Source organism: Homo sapiens, chromosome 9, assembly GCF_000001405.40.
Source record: "Homo sapiens chromosome 9, GRCh38.p14 Primary Assembly".
NCBI classification, from domain to species: Eukaryota; Metazoa; Chordata; class Mammalia; order Primates; family Hominidae; genus Homo; species Homo sapiens.
Genome location: NC_000009.12, coordinates 36,612,393 through 36,632,164, shown reverse-complemented (window position 1 = coordinate 36,632,164; position 19,772 = coordinate 36,612,393). Strand labels below are relative to the sequence as shown.

Sequence of the window (19,772 nt, the reverse complement as noted above, 5' to 3'; positions counted from 1 at the left end):
GTCCTGCCTCAGATCTATTGAATTACACACTCTGGGGCTGGAGGCCAGCAATCTGTATTTTAACAAGCCCGGGGTAATTTTGATATCTGCTGAAGTTTGAGAACCACTGCACTAGGTAACAGGGCCCATTCAATAGTACATCAACTCATTCAAGTATTTATTCAGTATCTACTAACATACTTAATGAGCAAGAGTTGGGAAAAGGCGGGATGCCGTGGCTCATACCTGTAATCCCAGCACTTTGGGAGATCAAGACAGGCAGAACGCTTGAGCTCAGGAGTTCGAAACCAGCCTGGGCAACGTAGCGAAACCCCATCTCTACAAAAAATACAGTTTGCTGAAAGTAATTATAAGGAATGAAGTGATAAATAAAATTTAAAAACAACCAAAAAAAAAAGAAAACTAAAGAAAGAACACAAAAAATTAGTCAGGTGTGGTGGTGTATACCAGTGGTCCCAGTTACTTGGGAGGCTGAAGTAGAACTAACACTTGAGCCTGGGGGTCAAGGCTGTAGTGGGCCAAGATCATATGACTGCACTCCAGCCTGGGCGACAGAGTAAAACCCTGTCTATAAAATTTTTTTTTAAAAAAAGAGGCCAGGCTGGGTGCGGTGGCTCACACCTGTAATCCCAGTACTTTGGGAGGCCAAGGCGGGTGGATCACCTGAGGTCAGAAGTTCAAGACCAGCCTGGACAACATGGTGAAACCCCATCTCTACTAAAAGTACAAAAATTGGCCAGGAATGGTGGCACATGCCTGTAATCCCAGCTACTTGGGAGGCTGAGGCACGAGAACCACTTGAACCTGGGAACCCAGGAAGCGGAGGTTGTGGTGAGCCAAGATCGCACCGTTGCACTCCAGCCTGAGCAACAAAGCAAAACTCTGTCTCAAAAAAACAAAAGCCAGTGGCTCACACCTGTAATCCCAGCACTTTGGATTTTGAGAGGTCGAGGCAGGCAGAAAACGTGAGGTCAGGAGTTCGAGACCAGCCTGGCTAACATAGTGAAACCTCGTCTCTACTAAAAATACAAAAACTAGCCAGGCATAGTGGCACACGCCTGTAGTACTAGCTACTCAGGAGGCTGAGGCAGGAGAATTACTTGAACCTGGGAGGCAAAGGTTGCAGTGAGCCAAGATCACGCCACTGCACTCCAGCCTGGGCAACAGAGGGAGACTCCATCTAAATAAAAAAAAAAAAAAAAAAGAGCTGGGGCCAGGTGTAGAGGCTCACGCCTATAATCCCAGCACTTTGGAAGGCTGAGGCAGGCAGATACCTTGAGGTCAGGAGTTCGAGACCAGCCTGGCCAACATGGGAAAACTCTGTCTCTACTAAAAATACAAAAATTAGCCAGGCATGGTGGTTCACACCTGTAATCCCACCTACTCGGAAGGCAGAAGCAGAAAAAGCACTTGAACCCAGAAGGCGAAGGTTGCAGTGAGCCAAGATCACGCCACTGCACTCCAACCTGAGGGTCTTCTAAGGAGTGAGACTCTATCTCCATCAATCAATCAATCAATCAATAATTTTGGAATAAAAGAGAGTGGAACAAGAACTAGTTAGAGAAAACAGAAAATTCGCAAAGTAAGAAAAACCATACCAGCTATAACATATGGTAGGTGTCTAAAATAAACTAGGTTTACAACATAATTAAGAAAGGATCTAATAGAGGATATTTTCAAGGTAGATATGAGTGGGATTTTTTTCAAGCTAATAGGAAATGATGTAGCACCACAGATATCTTAAAAGTTGAACCAAACAATTACAATAGACTTCTATTATTTAAAAATAAAGTTTACCTGCAGCATTTGTTGAAGAAGCAGAATGCTACTGGGAGAGAGCCACTTGGGAACATCATATTTTCCTCTCTACAAAAACAAAGCATTTAAGAGATTCAGGTTCAATCAGCCTTGACACAAATTCCTTAGGTAATAACATGCTGGAGGTTTACTTTTAAGCTTGAAGACTTCACCCAACTACAATACTTGGTAAACATTATTAACTAAAAAAAATCAATTTCTTGGCTGGGCGTGGTGGCTCACACCTGAAGTCCCAGCACTTTGGGAGGTCAAAGCGGGCAGATCACCTGAGATCAGGAGTTCAAGACCAGCCTGGCCAACGTGGTGAAACACTGTCTCTACTAAAAATACAAAAATTAGTCAGTCGTGGTGGCAGGCACCTGTAATCCCAGCTACTCAGGAGGCTGAGGCAGGAGAATCACTTGAACCCAGGAGACGGAGGTTGCAGTGAGCCGAGATCGTGCCACTGCACTCCAACCTGGGTGACAGAGCGAGACTCCATCACAAAAAAAAAAAAAAAAAAACAATTTCTTGCCTTAAAGAAAAAATCGGGCATATTAAATACTATCATTGCCTCTAAATTATCCACATATCAGAGAAGGGCTAGAGCACAAAGAACATAACAGTAGAAAACAAAAATGTCATACAGCTTTGGAATCTGTAGTATTAAATGGACAGTAAGTATACACTGTAGTCTATTTTTATACTGCTGAAACAATTATTAGTTTATAATTTCAGAGCAATTATCAGTTGACAAAATGAAGCAGCAGAAAAGCATATTTGGTGACAGTACATAGGCTATGGTTAAAAACAGGTCATCCACAAAACAGAATTCACAATCTTTGAGGAAAACTAGTGAAAGCCACTTTCTAAGGTAAATACCTCTTTTAGGACTAAAAGAGACTAAGAAGGCAAATGTATACAACCTAGTATACTCAGAAATTATGGCCACCAAGTCATCAAAGAAAAGATCAGGGACTTGGCTAAATGCTAATACATGATAGAATATCTCTTTACACACTTACCACACACATCCTCTTTCCCAATTCAGAGGAAGCAATACAACAGTTTCTCACAGCAGAAATCACATTGTTTAATGATGCTAAGATAACAGGTTAATTATTTGAGAGAAATTGATTGAACTGTAATTCATAGAACATACCAAAATTAATTCCACCCAGATTAAATGAAAATACAAAACCAGGCTGGGCGTGGTGGCTCACACCTGTAATCCCAGCACTTTGGGAGGCCAAGGCAGGTGGATCACGAGGTCAGGAGTTCAAGACCATCCTGGCTGACACAGGGAAACCTTGTTTCTACTAAAAATACAAAAATTAGCTGGGCATGGTGGCGGGCACCTGTAGTCCCACCTACTAGGGAGGCTGAGGCAGGAGAACTGCTTGAACTCAGGAGGCGGAGGTTGCGGTGAGCCCAGATCGTGTCACTGCAGCACTCTAGCCTGGGCGACAGAACGAGACTCCGTCTCAAAAAAAAAAAAAAAAAAGAAAATACAAAACCATAAGAGTACTTAAAGAAAGTATGAGTGATTATTTTTAGAATCTTTCTAGACATGACAGCAAAGCCAACAACTATAAAGAGTAATATATGACAAAATTAACGTTTGATATTTCTGTATAACAAAACATCATTGGCCGGATGTGGTGGCTCACGCCTGTAATCCCAGCACTTTGGGAGGCTGAGGCAGGTGGATCACGAGGTCAAGAGATCAAGACCATCCTGGCCAACATGGTGAAACCCCGTCTCTACTAAAAATACAAAAATTAGCCGGGCGTGGTGGCACGCACCTGTAGTCCCAGCTACTCGGGAGGCTGAGGCAGGAGAATTGCTTGAATCCGGGAGGTGGAGGTCGCAGTGAGCTGAGATTACGCCACTGCACTCCAGCCTGCCAATACAGCAAGATTCCGTCTCAAAAAAAAAAAATTCATTAACAAAGTTAACAACAAATTGAGAAAAAGCCTTTTCCAAAGGTCACAGGCAACTGTCACTGACTACTGCTGACTCCCAGAGAGCTGGCTAGAGTATCTAAAACCCCTCCTTCCCAGGGATAGGCATGGAGCCCAGGCAGCAGTGAGCCTTCAGGTTGGGGTCCAGTTGGCCATACATGAGGCTTGGTAGGGAGAAATAAATTCAAGGCTTCATTGCTACAATTCAAAAACAAACTCTGAGCCAGGCACAGTGGCTCATGCCTGTAATCCCAGCACTTTGGAAGGCCGAGGTCAGGAGTTTGAGACCAGCCTGACCAACATGGTGAAACCCCGTCTCTACTAAATACAAAATATTAGCCAGGCGTGGTGGCGCATGTCTGTAATCCCACCTACTCAGGAGGCTGAGGCAGAAAAATCACTTGAACCCGGGAGGTGGAGGTTGCAGTGAGCCAAGATTGTGCCATAGTACTCCAGCCTGGGCAACAAGAGTGAAACTCCGTCTCAAAAACAAAACAAACAAAAAAGACTTTGTCAGTTTCTGTCTCTGGCAAGTGTTAAGGTGCCCTGGCAAGGGATAAATAAGAATGGGCTCTCAGGCTGGGCACAGTGGCTCACGCCTGTAATCCCAGCACTTTGGGAGGCTGAGATGGGCGGATCACCTGAGGTCGGAAGTTTGAGACCAGCCTGACCAATGTGGAGAAACCCCGTCTCTACTAAAAATACAAAATTAGCCAGGTGTGGTGGCGGGCACTTATAATTCCCAGCTACTCAGGAGGCTGAGGCAGGAGAATCACTGGAACCAGAGAGGCAGAGGTTGCAGTGAGCCGAGATCGCGCCATTGCACTCCAGCCTGGGCAACAAGAGCAAAACTCTTGTCTCCAAAAAAAAAAAAAAAAAGAGAGAGAGAGAGAATGGGTTCTCTGGGTAATACTGAGTGCTTTCGATAAAGGGAATAAAAATGTAATAATATTAAAAGTCATTTGTAAAATGAAAGCTACTGTTCTTCCTAGGAAACACTTGTAGGTCAGTCCATCTACTCTCATCAGAGAGGCTGATTTTTGACCCTTTCTTTTTAGATTCATTGTTTGACAATGCTTCTCTGGGACTTTCATTACTTCTTTAACATAATTGAAAGCCAGCCTGCCATAACATCTTAGGACTCTGAGTGATCCATACCTGTCTGTTTTCCACTTCACCTTTAAGGTGGACTGATTCTGTAAGAATTATATCCTAGACAGTTCATAAGAACAGAGAACCCCAATGCTGGTACAAGTCAATGGCTTCCTCACCTATCTGCCTCCATCCTTCTAGCCGCATTCATTTACAGTTGGCGTGTGTGTGTGTGTGTGTGTGTGTGTGTGTGTGTGTTTGCGCTTGTGCTTGTCCTTGTCTTCTTTGTGTTCCCAGACTAAACTGAGGGTCAGGCTGCTACTTCTTTTCTTTTTTTTTTTTTTTTTCTTCTTGAGATGGAGTTTCACTCTTGTTGCCCAGGCTGGAATGCAATGAGTGATCTTGGCTCACTGCAGCCTCTGCCTCCCGGGTTCAAGCAATTCTCCTGCCTCAGCCTGCAGAGTAGCTGGGATTACGGGTGCCTGCCACCACCCCCAGCTAATTTTTTGTATTTTTAGTAGAGATAGGGTTTCACCATGTTGGTCAGGCTGATCTCGAACTACTGACCTCAGGTGATCCGCCCGCCTCAGCCTCCCAAAGTGCTGGGATTACAGCCGTGAGCCACCATGCCCGGCCTCTTGGGCTGCTATTTCTTGAGGCCCAATAACAAGATATAGATGAACTGGGGAGGAAGAGTTTTTATTTCTGTAACCAGCCACAGGGAAAAGGCCTGGAAATTATCACCAGACCAACTCAAAATTACAAAGTTCTCCAGAGCCTATACACCTTCTAAGCTATATGTCTACGTGTAAGTGTGCATTTATCTAAAAACGTAAGTGACTAACTTCTTTTAAGCTATAACTAAGGTCTGAGTCCCGAAGACCTTCTGGAGCCTCAGTAAGTTTACTTAATCTAAATGGGTCTAGGTGCTAGGGTGATTACCCTTATCTTGTATCCTGCTAAATCATAAAGGTTTGGGGAGTTCCTTTAGACTCCAAAGAAATTGTTTGTGCTTTCTTCAGACCCCCAAAAAATTTGTTTCATCCTAAAAGGGTCCTGAGAAGAATTCCTTCGTTATCTTGTCATGCTTCAAGGCCCTGGAAAAGCCTAGGCAAAACTCTTGGTGGGCTCTTTGTTACATTCCAGCCTTGGTATAAGGGCACTGGCTCAATCAGCTTTTAGTGTATAACCTAGCCACTCAGTCAGTGCTGGGACAGTTGTAATGGAGGCCTGCATTAGTGAGACCTGGCCTGCCACACTTGCACTTATATTTCTAACCTAGAACCCTTATTCAGTGCATTTTGTCTTTCATTCATTTTGGAGGCCCTCTGGAGTTTGTCATAGACCAATTCCTAATTATATCATAAACAATTCTGCGATGAATGTAACCCTTCATAATTTTTTCTTTTTTTTTTTGAGATGAAGTCTCACGGCACAATCTTCGCTCACTGCAACCTCTGCCTCCAGGGTTCAAGCCATTCTTCTGCCTCAGCCTACTGAGTAGCTGGGATTACAGACATGCACCACCATGACTGGCTAATTTTTGCATTTTTAGTAGAGACAGGGTCTCATCATGTTGGCCAGGCTGGTCTTGAACTCCTGGCCTCAGGTGATCCACCCGCCTCAGCCTCCCAAAGTGCTGGAATTACAGGCATGAGCCACCTAGCTGGCTCAAAGTTTGTTTTTGAACTACAGCAATGAAGCCTTGAATTTATTTCTCCCCTACCACGCTTCATCTACAGCCAACTGGACCCCAATCTGAAGGCTCACTGCTGCCTGGGCTCCATGCCTATCCCTGGGAAGGAGGGGTTTTAGATGCTCTAGCCAACTCTCTGGGACTCAGCAGTAGTGAGTCACAGTTGCTGCATGACTGGCCCTGACCTACTTGGCCCCACTCTCGTATCTGAGCTTTACTTTATTCCTGAGACCCAGGCTTTTCGTGATCCCAGTCCTGAGGACTTGCCTTGTTCTCTTTCTTGGCAAACTGCTTATTTGCCCGGTCTCAAATATTTCAGCTTGCTCTTGCCAGGGTCCCATAGAGAGTGGAGATCAGCTTGGAACAAAGAGCTTCCTATGTGCTGATCAAAAGGCCGTGAGCTGCCTGAGTCTCTGATCACAGCCTGCTCCTAGAGTGTCCTCTATCAGCTTCATTCCCTGTACTCTGGGTGGTCTTCCCTCTGCTGTTTGCAAAGCCGTTTGCTGCTTACTCTCTGGACACTATCTGTACTGGGTTGAACAGTATCCCTCCAACTGCACAAGAATGGATTTCTGTTGTTTTAACCCATCACTCTCCAGTATTTTGTTACAACAACCCTAGGAAACTCATACACTATCTATGAGGGTTTAGCTGCTTCACATCACCTCCCCCATACCAGCATCTGTCCACCTCAAGGACAAGTCTGATTCCAGGTTTCAGCCCTTTCTGGTCTGCTCCAACACACAAATAACAGGCCCATAACCAGATCTATCATAATAAAAAAGACATTATGCCTTTAAATTCTGAAACTATCATAATAGGAGACATTATGCCTTTCAATTCTGAAAAGTACTCTTAACTAAAAGTAGGAGTACTCCACAGAAACCAAATGTAAAAATAAATACTCAGACCAAAGTACTAAATAAAGAGAGCTCTACCATACTGATTCCAAATTCCTCTTTGCCTTTTTATCACCCCTTTTTATCAACCTATTTTGAATTCTTAAAGTATCTTTTAATAGATTCCCCTGTGCTTTGCTATAAGCTGGCACCATGGAAGCAATCCTATCCAGAAAGAAGCAGAGAAAACAAGTGAATGAGAAGTGTGGTGTTTGGCACATTGGAACAGGAATGGATTGGAGTCATATATTATATTTGAATCCCAGTTCCGCCTCTTACTGGCTCCATGGGCTTGTAAGAGTTATTCAATCTCTCTGGCCCTGTTTCCTAAGAAAGGCTCTGAAAACAAATTGGCTAGGTTCAAATCCAGGATCTACCTCTTACTAGCTGTATGACCTTATACAAGCTATTTAGCCTTGCTGTGCTTTACTTTCTTCATCTAAAAAAAGAAGTATAACAACAAAAATTAGCTGGGTGTGGTGGCACGTGCCTGTAGTCTCAGCTACTTGGGAGGCTAAGGCAGAAGAATCACTTGAACCCGGAAGGTGGAGGTTACAGTGAGCCGAGATCACGCCACTGCACTCCAGCCTGGGCGACAGAGCGAGACTCCATCTCAAAAAAAAAAAAAAAAAAGAAGTATAATAACGATACCTACTGCATAGAAATTTTGCTAGGGTTCAATGATTTAGTATACATAAAGCATTTAGCACAGTACCATGGACACAGTAAGAGCTTGATAAATGTTAGCTTCGACTGCTGCTGCTGATACTATTACTACCATTATTATTATCTGCGATACAACTAATGCCACTTACAGGATTATAAACCAACAGAATATATGTGAAAGCACTCGGCATACTGCCTTGCATGTAAGAGACAATAAATATGTATTGAATCTGAAATAAACAGGAGATAGGAATATTCAAAAAGTAGTATTCCTTTTTTGAGGGCCAGAGATGGACACATTGGCCAAAAGCCTTGTATCCAAAAGTGCTAAATACTCAGTGCAGCAAGAAAGGCTAAAGGCATTCTGAGGAATGTCATAGGCCTTCCCAATGGAGCACTGCCCCACTGCAGCTATCTCAGAATCTCAGGATTGTCTGGTAAGGTACACATCGTCTAGGCAAGCCCTGTTCACATCACCTCCTGCAATGTCCCCATCCAATTCCCCTATTTGGGCAGAACACCTCTGTAGAGTATCATCCACAAGTGGGTCATAAGGCCTGTGACTCATTACCATGTCCTGACATTCTCAACTTCATTCTCTGTGCTGAAATACTGGCCAAAATAGAGTCCAAAAATGAGCTCTGCTGCCAGGCTTAACCAAATCTCTTATTTGTACACCGTGCTTTAAAATGCGCAAAACACTTGTACATATATTTTACCCTCTGTAGTAGGCAGGGACTATTAACCACATTATACAAATGGAGAAACCAACTGTCAGCCAGGGAGATTAAGTACTTGTTCAATATTGTAGGGCACTGGTGCTCAACTGGGGATGATTTGTCCTACAAGGGGACATCTGGTAGTGTATGGAAACATTCTGAATTGTCACTACTTGGAGATTACCCCTAGCAATTAGTGGGTAAAGGTAATGGATGCTGCTAAACATCCTACAATGCATGACAGTCCCCTACAACAAAGAATTATGTGGTCCAAATGCCAATAGTGTTAATGTTGAGAAACACTGTTACAGAGCAAAAAATGGTCAGAGATAGGACCCTTGTTTCTGCTATTCTTTAAAGAATTTGTGTTTGTTTATTTAAGGGACAATTAACTTGCAAAGGAGAGCAAGAAACAGATAACAGTGGGAGAATCCAAGTGAAGAGAGGGAGAAAAGATCTATGGACTAAGCAAAATAATCCTGGGAATTCCAGTGGCTTGAAATTGTTTTTCACACTGTTCTAAGAGAGGCAGGCCATCTCACCAATACATAATCATAATGCTGTAGTAAACTCCGTAATTGTAAAAATATAATTTCATAAAGAGACAACTTGCTCATTTTCCTTAAAATTATAAATTGTAATTGTTAGGCAGCAATTTTATTTTCAAACTACTCAATTTTCAATTGCTAAATTATTTATACTTCCCTAATATTTGTATACCACAGCTGGAGTACACTCGTGCTTGTCTTTGAATGCAGTGATGACAAATGAATATAGGTAACATTAATAAGATTAATACTCAAGCCATTAGTAATCATGCTAGAAAGTGCAGTTGAGCATTTTGGTTAAAATAGTCAACAAATGCAAAAGATAAACGAAGTCTGCCTTTTAAACAAGAGTTACATACGGTGCGTCAAATATTGCTGGGTTTTTCAATCAAACCAAGAACTGAGGAAAGTGTTATTCCCAAGTGAGGAATTTTAGAACATTCTAGGCAAAGATACATACTGCATGCAAGTGATACGACACCTTAATTAGATTCAACCAGCAGACTGTATTACACTGCGACTCGGAACAATAGTTCTGAGCCAAGATTACAATAAATTTCAAAATCTATAATGTGTGAAATTAAATTCCACAATAATGCATAAAAGTCCTAATTTGAATCAATTTTCAACTTGCAAATACATGAAAAACTAAAAAATGAAATTCAGAGTAGGAGAAACAAAGAATATACAAGTATTAGTAAATACTATTAATTAGGAAGGCCAAATCTCCACTGAACAAGAATTAGACATTTTCTACCATATTCATTCCACTGCAAAGATATTTGATTTTTCAAAAATATCAGAACTTGAATCTCACATATACTATTAGGATATACTTTTTTATTATTTTAAGGTAAGCTCTCTCCCTCAAAGGATTAATCTAGGATCTACTAGTGCATTCAAATAAATAAAAGTAGAAAACACTGAAGTTTGTATGTTGGTACATTCACCTTTTATTGATGAAACAATATACTGATAATAGTATGAATTCCATGGCTGCCATATGAATGTGAACTTGCAGTAACAACAAATGAAGACAAATAAACAGCATAGAGGATTAAGGTCCAGACAGGTAAAAATATAGCAAAGGTTAGAGTTAAGTCAATAAATTAGGATCACCATGAATAGTTCCATTTCAGTAAGGTATTAACAGGGTAAGGTATTCAGTCTCTCTGGCCCTGTTTCCTAAGAAAGGCTCTGAAAACAAATTGGCTAGGTTCAAATCCAGGATCTACCTCTTACTAGCTGTGTGACCTTATACAAGCTATTTAACCTTGCTGTGCTTTAGTTTCTTGGTCTAAAAGAAGTATAATAACGAAAATTAGCTGGGTGTGGTAGGTAAGTAAAATAACAGTTACTTATCTTTGTGGGTAAGTCTACAAAATCTTAGTTAAGCATAGCTGAAACAGAATAAAACTAAAAACCAATACTCGGAACACTTAGGGAGTGGTTCTGTTCTACTCAAGTTTTTTTTTTTTTTTTTTTTTTTTTTTTTTTTTTTTTTTTTTCCCTGAGACAGAGTCTCACTCTGTCATTCAGACTGGAGGGCAGAGGCGTGATCTCACCTCATGGCAACCTCCGCCTCCCAGGTTCAAGCAATTCTCCTGCTTCAGCCTCCTGAGTACCTAGGATTACAGGCATGCACCACTATGCCCGGCTAAATTTTTTTGTATTTTTAGTAGAGATGGGGTTTCACCGTGTTGGCCAGGCTGATTTCGAGCTCCTGACCTCGTGATTCGCCCACCTCAGTCTCCCAAAGTGCTGGGATTGCAGGCGTGAGCCACTGCGCCCAGCCTCTATTCAGTTTTTTAATGAACAACTTAGTTTAGGGATATTTAAGAAATGTGCAAATGTTGGCAGGTGCAATGCTGGCAGGGACAGCTGTTACTACATGAGTGCAGAATCAAGATTCAAAATCTCAAAAGAAGGGAATGCAGCTGGGTGCGGTGGCTCATGGCTGTAATCCCAGCACTTTAGGAGGCCAAGGCAGGCGGATCACAAGGTCAGGAGTTCGAGACCAGCCTGGCCAATATGGTGAAACCCCGTCTCTACTAAAAATACAAAAATTAGCTGGGTGTGGTGGTGAGCACCTGTAGTCCCAGCTACTCTGGAGGCTGAGGCAGGAGAATCGCTTGAACCCAGGAGGCAGAGGTTGCAGTGAGCCAATAATCACGCCACTGCACTCCAGCCTGGGAGACAGAGCGAGACTCCATCTCAAAAAAAAAAAAAAAAAAAGGAAGAGAATGCTAGGCTGAAACAAGAAAAATTGAATGTGAAGAAACAGAAGTCAAAGAACTTATAGCTACTCAGAGCTGGAATGGATCTTGAAAATAACTGATTACTGCAATGCTCTAATGCTGCTGATGAAGGAAACAAGGACCAGTAAGTATCCTTGCGGGGTGACACCTAAAATGCGTGGGAAAGCCTATGCACAGTAATACCTAAATGAATTGGGAGAACTAACTTGTAGCCTTAGTAAATCAGAAAAGATGGGATGTCTGGGAAATTTCCCAAATTAATAAGCATAAAAAGATGCTTGGGAGGGGATCCTTCTTCCTCTAGGCATCTGTGATTCTTAGGTGACTAGCAACTACAGAGCTGAGAAACAATATTTCATTGTGGTTATAAGAATGGGCTGCCAGCTTGACTGCTAGGGTTCAAATCCCAGCTCTGCTACTCACTAGCTATAAGACCCTGAATAAGTTATTTAAGGTCTCTGTCCCTTCATTTCTTCATCTGTAAGAGGAAGACAATAATAGCAACCACCTCATTTAGAGCACAGCCTGGTAAGTAACAAAACTCATGCATGTTAAGTATTACTTTTGTGACAAAAGGATGAGAATATGCACGCCAGCAAACATTTTATTTTTTCTGATCAACCATGTGCAATAGCCACAAAGATATGCAACACACACACTTCAGAAAGCTCTATCCATTTGGAGGGGGGAAACAAGGAAGTAGAGAAAAAAGCAGAAAGAATTAAACCACCAAAAGACTGCTGCAGATGCTCTAGACAGAAGAGATTTCATTCAGCACAACTCAAACACAGAACTCCATTTCTGGACACCTACAGACACTTAGACCTGGCCTGCAGAAGGCATCTCCCCCACTCTCTACATATTTTTGGGGGGTTCAAAACTCACTGAAAACTTTATCATTCCATTTTTTTTTAAATCTACATAATACCTCATTTTGTTTTACACATCATACATCTTTATTGAGACTTTTTATGGTCAAGGTGAATATGCAAAATTTTAGCTGGATAAAATGACTCTAGTTATCCTTTATGGCATAGTATCTCATAACCAAGAAGTAAGTATGGTTAGAAGGCTCAATGTTTACAGAAGAATGCCAATCCTAGCCCCAGTTATACTCATGGCCCCTCTTGTTCTTATTCAGCATCACAGAATACCCATAACTTCAAGTAATTTCCAGGTAGAATAATCCCTAATTGACTGACACTCAATAACCTGGCTGAGAGGTATTATACTTATCAAGGGACTGCCTAAAGAATACGTAGAGTTAGGCCAGCACAGTGGCTCATGCCTGTAATCTCAGCACTTTTGAGAGGCTGAGGCAGGTGAATCATTTGAGGTCAGGAGTTCAAGACCAGCCTGACCAACATGGTGAAACACTGTCTCTACTAAAAATACAAAAATTAGCCAGGTGTAGTGGTACACGCCTGTAATCCCAGCTACTTGGGAGGCTGAGGCAGGAGAATTGCTTGAACCTGGGAGGCGGAGGTTGCAGTGAGCTGAGATCGTGCCACTGCACTCCAGCCTGGACAACAGAGCAAGACTCCGTCTCAAAAAAAAAAAAAAAAATACTTAGAGTTGACCATTCACTCATTCTTGACTGGCGGTCTTCAAAGATTTATATTAATTTTCTATCTATCTAATAAATAAGAAATTGAGCTTTGTTAATATTTAGTACATGGATCGGCACTAGTACGCTCACTAGTCCCTATATAACCTACACTATGAGACACTCTTAAGAAAGAATGGTATTGCAAAGCAGTGCTTTACAGGAGCACAGTTACATGGATTTACAGATTATAGTATACGGTTTAATGAAGCTAAATCCTCATTGAATAGACAAGTGGCTCAAAACTCTTGCAAAGAAACCACAGATTGAAGACTATGAATACAAGCAAACAGTAATGGAGCTGACACTTCTACTTTTAGGATATCAACCAAAACACAAAGTTAAAAAAATACCTAATTAGATTTAACAAGTTGTCTGCAAAACTTGAAATTAGCAAGACTATTTTAAATAAGGACTTATATACACTATTGTTAAAAATGAACCTCAAATCTTAAGTATATATGGCTACGTTGACATCATGATTCAATTTTCTTTTTCTTTTTTTTTTTTTTTTGAGGAGCCTCTGTCTGTCACCCAGGCTGGAGTGCAGTGGCGCAATCTCAGCTCACTGCAACCTCTGCCTCCCAGGTTCAAATGATTCTCATGCCTCAGCCTCCAAAGTAGCTGGGATTACAGGCATGCACCACCACGACCAGAAAATTCTTGTATTTTTAGTAGAGATGGGGTTTCACCATGTTGGCCAGGCTACTCCTGGCCTCAAGTGATCTGCCCACCTCAGCTTCCCAAAGTGCTGGGATTACAGAAGTGAGCCACTGGGCCCTTTTTTTTTTTTTAAAGACATGGAGTCTATGGCCTGGGCTGGAATGCAATGGTGCAATCATAGCTCACTGCAGCGTTGAACTCCTAGGCTCAAGCAATCCTCCCACCTCAGTCTCCTGAGTAGCTAGGACTAAAGACAAATGCCACCATGCCCAGCTAATTTTTTTTTTATTTTTTGTAGAGACGGAGTCTCACGATGTTGCCCAGGCTGGTCTCAAACTTCTGGCCTCAAGCCATGTCCCTAACTCAGCCCCCCAAAGTGCTGGGACTACAGGCACGAGCCACCACACCTGGTCTACAATTAGATCTTTAAAATCCAGAATCCAGAATGTGAAAGCAAATCTCTACAGTTTTTTTTATGATGTTTAAAGTCAAGAAAACATACTAAAGCAAATTCTAGATGAATCAAACATTTAAACATTTTTAAAAAGTGAAACCATAAAAACACTAGAAGAAAACACAGATATTTTAAAAAATAAAGTCAAAAAGCCCTTCCAAATATGACAATAAAAAATTGACAGGCTGGGCACAGTGGCTCATGCCTATAATCCCAACATTTTGAGAGGCCAAGGTGGGAGGATCACTTGAGGCCAGAGACAAGCCTCAGCAATATAGCAAGACCTTATCTCTACAAAAAATATTAGCCAAGTGTGGTAGCGCACGCCTGTAGTTCCAGCTACTCAGGAGGCTGAGGCTGGAGGATCACTTGAGCCCAGGAAATTGAGGTTGCAATGAACTATGACTGCACCACTGCACTCCAGCCTGGGTGACAGAGCAAGACCCTGTCTCTAAAAAAAAAAAGAAAGAAAAAAAGAAAAAGATTGATGAATTTCACTAAATAAAAACTAAAAATTCCTGCACAGCAAAAATAAGTCTTAAACATAACAATCAAAAACAGTGATACACTGTATTGGTGGGGGGGTATGGAGAAACTGGCATTATTATGCTACTGTTGGTAGTTGCATAAACCAATAGGACTTTACTGGGAAGCAATTTGGCAATATCTATCAAAATTACTAATTCACATATCTTTGACCCACCAACTGTTCTAGAAATTTTCTTACAGATTTATTATATTCACAATGTACAAATGACTACTTGGAAATTACTTAAATGTCCATTAACCTAGGACTGGTTAAATAAATTATGGTACATGCATACAATGCAATTCTATGCAGTCATAAAAAGAATGAAGAGGCTCTGAGGTGGGTATGAAGTGCTATGATTTCCAAGACACACTGCTAAGGGAGGAAAACAAAGTGCAGAACAGTGTTTATGGTATGCTACCATCTGTGTAAAAAAAAAAAAAAAAAAAACTGGGAAGGGGGTAGCAGAAAGAGAAAATATATAAATATAAAATTCCTTACATATGCAGGCTAATGTCTGAAAAAAATACGTAAAAATCTGATAAACGTGATAGCAATGATTGCCTCTAAGAAAACAGGTTTTATGGCCAGGCGCGGTGGCTCACGCCTGTAATCCCAACACTTGGGAGGCTGAGGCAGGCTGATCACCTAAGGTCAGGAGTTCGAGACAAGCCTGTCCAACATGGTGAAACCCCATCTCTGCTAAAACTACAAAAATTAGCTAGGCGCGGTGGTGGGAGCCTGTAATCCCAGCTATTCAGGAGGCTGAGGCAGAAGAATCGCTTGAACCTGGGAGGTAGAGGTTGCAGTGAGCCGAGATCACACTACTGCACTCCAGCCTGGGTGACAAAGTAAGGCTCTGCCTTAAAAAAAAAAAAAAAAAAAAGAGTTTGACATGCTAGATACCTTTAATAATTTTCCAACTTTCTAGCTACTCGGGTTACTCCCCTCATCCAATCCATGCACAAATCATGTTAGCTATGCCTTCAAAAGACATCCAGACTGTTCTACATTCTGACTGTGGCAATGGTTATATGAATCTATATATGTGTTAGAATTCATAGACCTGTATATACAAAGGGTCAATTTTACTGTATATACAAAGGGTCAATTTTACTTTACCCTTTGTATATACAGGTCTACTTTTACTTTTAATTTTGTTAATACAAAAATAATTTTTTTCTTTGCCACCGCGCCGGCGAGCGCCGCCCGGGAAGCAGCGGCTGGAGGAGCGGACGGGCCCCGCGGGGCCCGAGGGCAAGGAGCAGCCGCCTGCCTTGGCCTCCCAAAGTGCCGAGATTGCAGCCTCTGCCTGGCCGCCACCCCGTCTGGGAAGTGAGGAGTGTCTCTGCCTGGCTGCCCATCGTCTGGGATGTGAGGAGCCCCTCTGCCTGGCTGCCCAGTCTGGAAAGTGAGGAGCGTCTCCGCCCGGCCGCCATCCCATCTAGGAAGTGAGGAGCGCCTCTTCCCAGCCGCCATCACATCTAGGAAGTGAGGAGCGTCTCTGCCCAGCCGCCCATCGTCTGAGATGTGGGGAGCGCCTCTGCCCCGCCGCCCCATCTGGGATGTGAGGAGCGCCTCTGCCCGGCCGAGACCCCGTCTGGGAGGTGAGGAGCGTCTCTGCCCGGCCGCCCCGTCTGAGAAGTGAGGAGACCCTCTGCCTGGCAACCACCCCGTCTGAGAAGTGAGGAGCCTCTCCGCCCAGCAGCCACCCCATCTGGGAAGTGAGGAGCGTCTCCGCCCGGCAGCCACCCCGTCCGGGAGGGAGGTGGGGGGGGGTCAGCCCCCGCCAGGCCAGCCGCCCCATCCGGGAGGGAGGTGGGGGGGTCAGCCCCCCGCCTGGCCAGCCGTGCCGTCCGGGAGGGAGGTGGGGGGGTCAGCCCCCCGCCCGGCCAGCCGTGCCGACCGGGAGGGAGGTGGGGGGGTCAGCCCCCCGCCCGGCCAGCCGCCCCATCCGGGAGGGAGGTGGGGGGATCAGCCCCCCGCCTGGCCAGCCGTGCCGTCTGGGAGGGAGGTGGGGGGGTCAGCCCCCCGCCTGGCCAGCCGTGCCGTCTGGGAGGGAGGTGGGGGGGTCAGCCCCCCGCCCGGCCAGCCGCCCCGTCCGGGAGGTGAGGGGCGCCTCTGCCCGGCCGCCCCTACTGGGAAGTGAGGAGCCCCTCTGCCCGGCCAGCCGCCCCGTCCGGGAGGGAGGTGGGGGGGGGGTCAGCCCCCCCGCCCGGCCAGCTGCCCCGTCCGGGAGGTGAGGGGCGCCTCTGCCCGGCCGCCCCTACTGGGAAGTGAGGAGCCCCTCTGCCCGGCCACCACCCCGTCTGGGAGGTGTGCCCAACAGCTCATTGAGAACGGGCCAGGATGACAATGGGGGCTTTGTGGAATAGAAAGGCGGGAAAGGTGGGGAAAAGATTGAGAAATCGGATGGTTGCTGTGTCTGTGTAGAAAGTAGAAGACATGGGAGACTTTTCATTTTGTTCTGCACTAAGAAAAATTCCTCTGCCTTGGGATCCTGTTGATCTGTGACCTTACCCCCAACCCTGTGCTCTCTGAAACATGTGCTGTGTCCACTCAGGGTTAAATGGATTAAGGGCGGTGCAAGATGTGCTTTGTTAAACAGATGCTTGAAGGCAGCATGCTCGTTAAGAGTCATCACCAATCCCTAATCTCAAGTAATCAGGGACACAAACACTGCGGAAGGCCGCAGGGTCCTCTGCCTAGGAAAACCAGAGACCTTTGTTCACTTGTTTATCTGCTGACCTTCCCTCCACTATTGTCCCATGACCCTGCCAAATCCCCCTCTGTGAGAAACACCCAAGAATTATCAATAAAAAAATAAATTAAAAAAAAAAAAAAAAAACCCAAAAATAATTTTTTAAAAAAGACATCCAGGCCAGAAGCAGTGGCTCACACCTGTAATCCCAGCACCTTGGGAGGCCGAGGCAGGTGAATCACCTGAGTCAGGAGTTCAAGACCAACATGGCCAACATGGCGAAACCCCATCTCTACTAAAACTACAAAACTTAGCCACGCATGGTGGCAAGGACCTATAATCCTAGCTACTCAGGAGGGTGAGGCAGGAGAATCACTTGAACCCAGGAGGCGGAGGTTGCAGTGAGCCAAGACGCACCACTGCACTCCAGCCTGGACGACAGGGCGAGACTCTGTCTCAAAAAAAAAAAAAAAGACATCTAGTATCTACCCACTTTTTACCACCTCCACTGCCACCATCTCTTATCTGAATCATTACAATATCCTCCTGACCAGATGCCCTGGTTCTCTTCACTTCCTACAGTCATCTCCACATAGCAGCCAGTGTGATCCTGTTAAAAACTAAACCAAATCATGTCCTCAAAAGCCTCCAATGGCTCCCCATTTCACGTAGAAAAAATGCCAAAGTCCTTATGAGAGCCTACCCAGCCCAAAGCAGCTTGACTCCTGTTCCCAAGGTTTCCTTTCCTACTGCCCTCCTCACTTGCTAAACTCAGGCTGCACTGGCCCTCTCACCCTCCCTTGACAACACCAGGCATGTTCCTACCTCCCAGTCTTTGCTCTAGCTGTTCCCTCTGCCGGAAATATTTTTCTCCTAGATATCCACTTGACACTCTCACATCCCTCAAGTCTCCTTACATCTCGCCTCCATGAAGTTTATCCTGACCACCTTATTTAATCATGCAACCTACTGGCCCTTTCCTCCACAACTCCCCCATCTGTACTCCTGATTCCTCTTCATCCTACTCAATTTTTTTCTCTTTTCCAAAGTACATATCATCTTTTAGTAAAATTTACTTGTTATGCTTATTGTCTTTCTCTACATCCCCACTACTAGAAGATAAACTCCACGAGGACAGGGATCTTTCATCTGTTTTATTCACAGATATACCCCACACATCTAGAAAAGTGCCTGGCACATATTAGGTGTTTGGTAACTATTTTACTCCTCCCTAAGGTGAAATGACATCGAATAAATGAGTAAATGAACAAACAAATGAACACATAAACAAGTGGTTGTCTTTCTGATTAGAGAACATTTGAACAGAGACCTGAAAGAAGGGAGGGAACAAAGCATCTCTCCGGGAGAAAACCATTTCAGGTGAAAGGGTAAGTACAAATGCCCTGAGGCAGGCACACCTTAGCGTGTTCCAGGAAAAGGGGAAAAAAGAAACAACAAGGAGGACAATGTGGGTGGCACAAGTGAGGCAGGGAGTAGACCATGAGGGCAGTGAGGTGATGGGAGGCCACATTACACGGGGGAAAACCCACAGCACACAGGGCAAACACTGGCTTGTACTCGAGATGAGAAAGAGGCCACTAGAGAGCTTCAAATGAAATGTTATGATCTATGTTAGTTAAATGTTATATGTTAGTTAAAAATCTTTCCATAAAGAAGGCACAGGTGGAGTTGAACTTCCAAGCACATTCTACAAAACATCCACAAAAAAATTGTCAAGCTCTCCCCAAGAAAAGTAAAAGAAAGAATACTCCCCAATGTAACTTTATGGGGCTAATACAAATCATGAAACCAAAACCAAACATACAAAGATAGTTCCCAAAAAAGTACACATTAATTTTTGAGCCAATTTTAAGTCCTGGACAAAATACTGGCAAATCTCATTTAGAAATGCATGTAATCCCAGCCTCTTTGGGAGGCCAAGGCAGGAGGATCACTTGAGGTCAGTTCGAGACCAGCCTGGCCAACATGGTGAAACCTCATCTCTACTAAACATACAAAATTAGCTGAGCTTGGTGGCACTCGCCTGTAATCCCAGCTACTTGGGAGGCTGAGGCAGGAGAATTGCTTGAACCCAGGAGGCAGAGCTTGCAGTGAGCCAAGATGGCGCCACTGCACTCCAGCCTGGGCAACAGAGCAAGGCTTTGTCTCAAAAATAATTG

General features: G+C 43.9%; 1 protein-coding gene across 53 annotated transcripts in view; it reads right to left on the bottom strand.

Annotated features, from left to right (window-relative positions):
* MELK (maternal embryonic leucine zipper kinase) overlaps positions 1–19,772 on the bottom strand; it is a 104,788-nt gene that overhangs the window by 45,518 nt on the left and 39,498 nt on the right. For all 53 annotated transcript variants that reach the window (NR_046337.2, XM_011518076.3, XM_047424171.1 and 50 more), the window contains one exon: positions 1,798–1,866. Coding sequence is in view for 52 of the 53 variants with exons in the window: in XM_011518076.3 (XP_011516378.1) it covers positions 1,798–1,866 (69 nt within the window). In the remaining variant the exon portion in view is untranslated. The remainder of the gene's footprint in view (positions 1–1,797; positions 1,867–19,772) is intronic.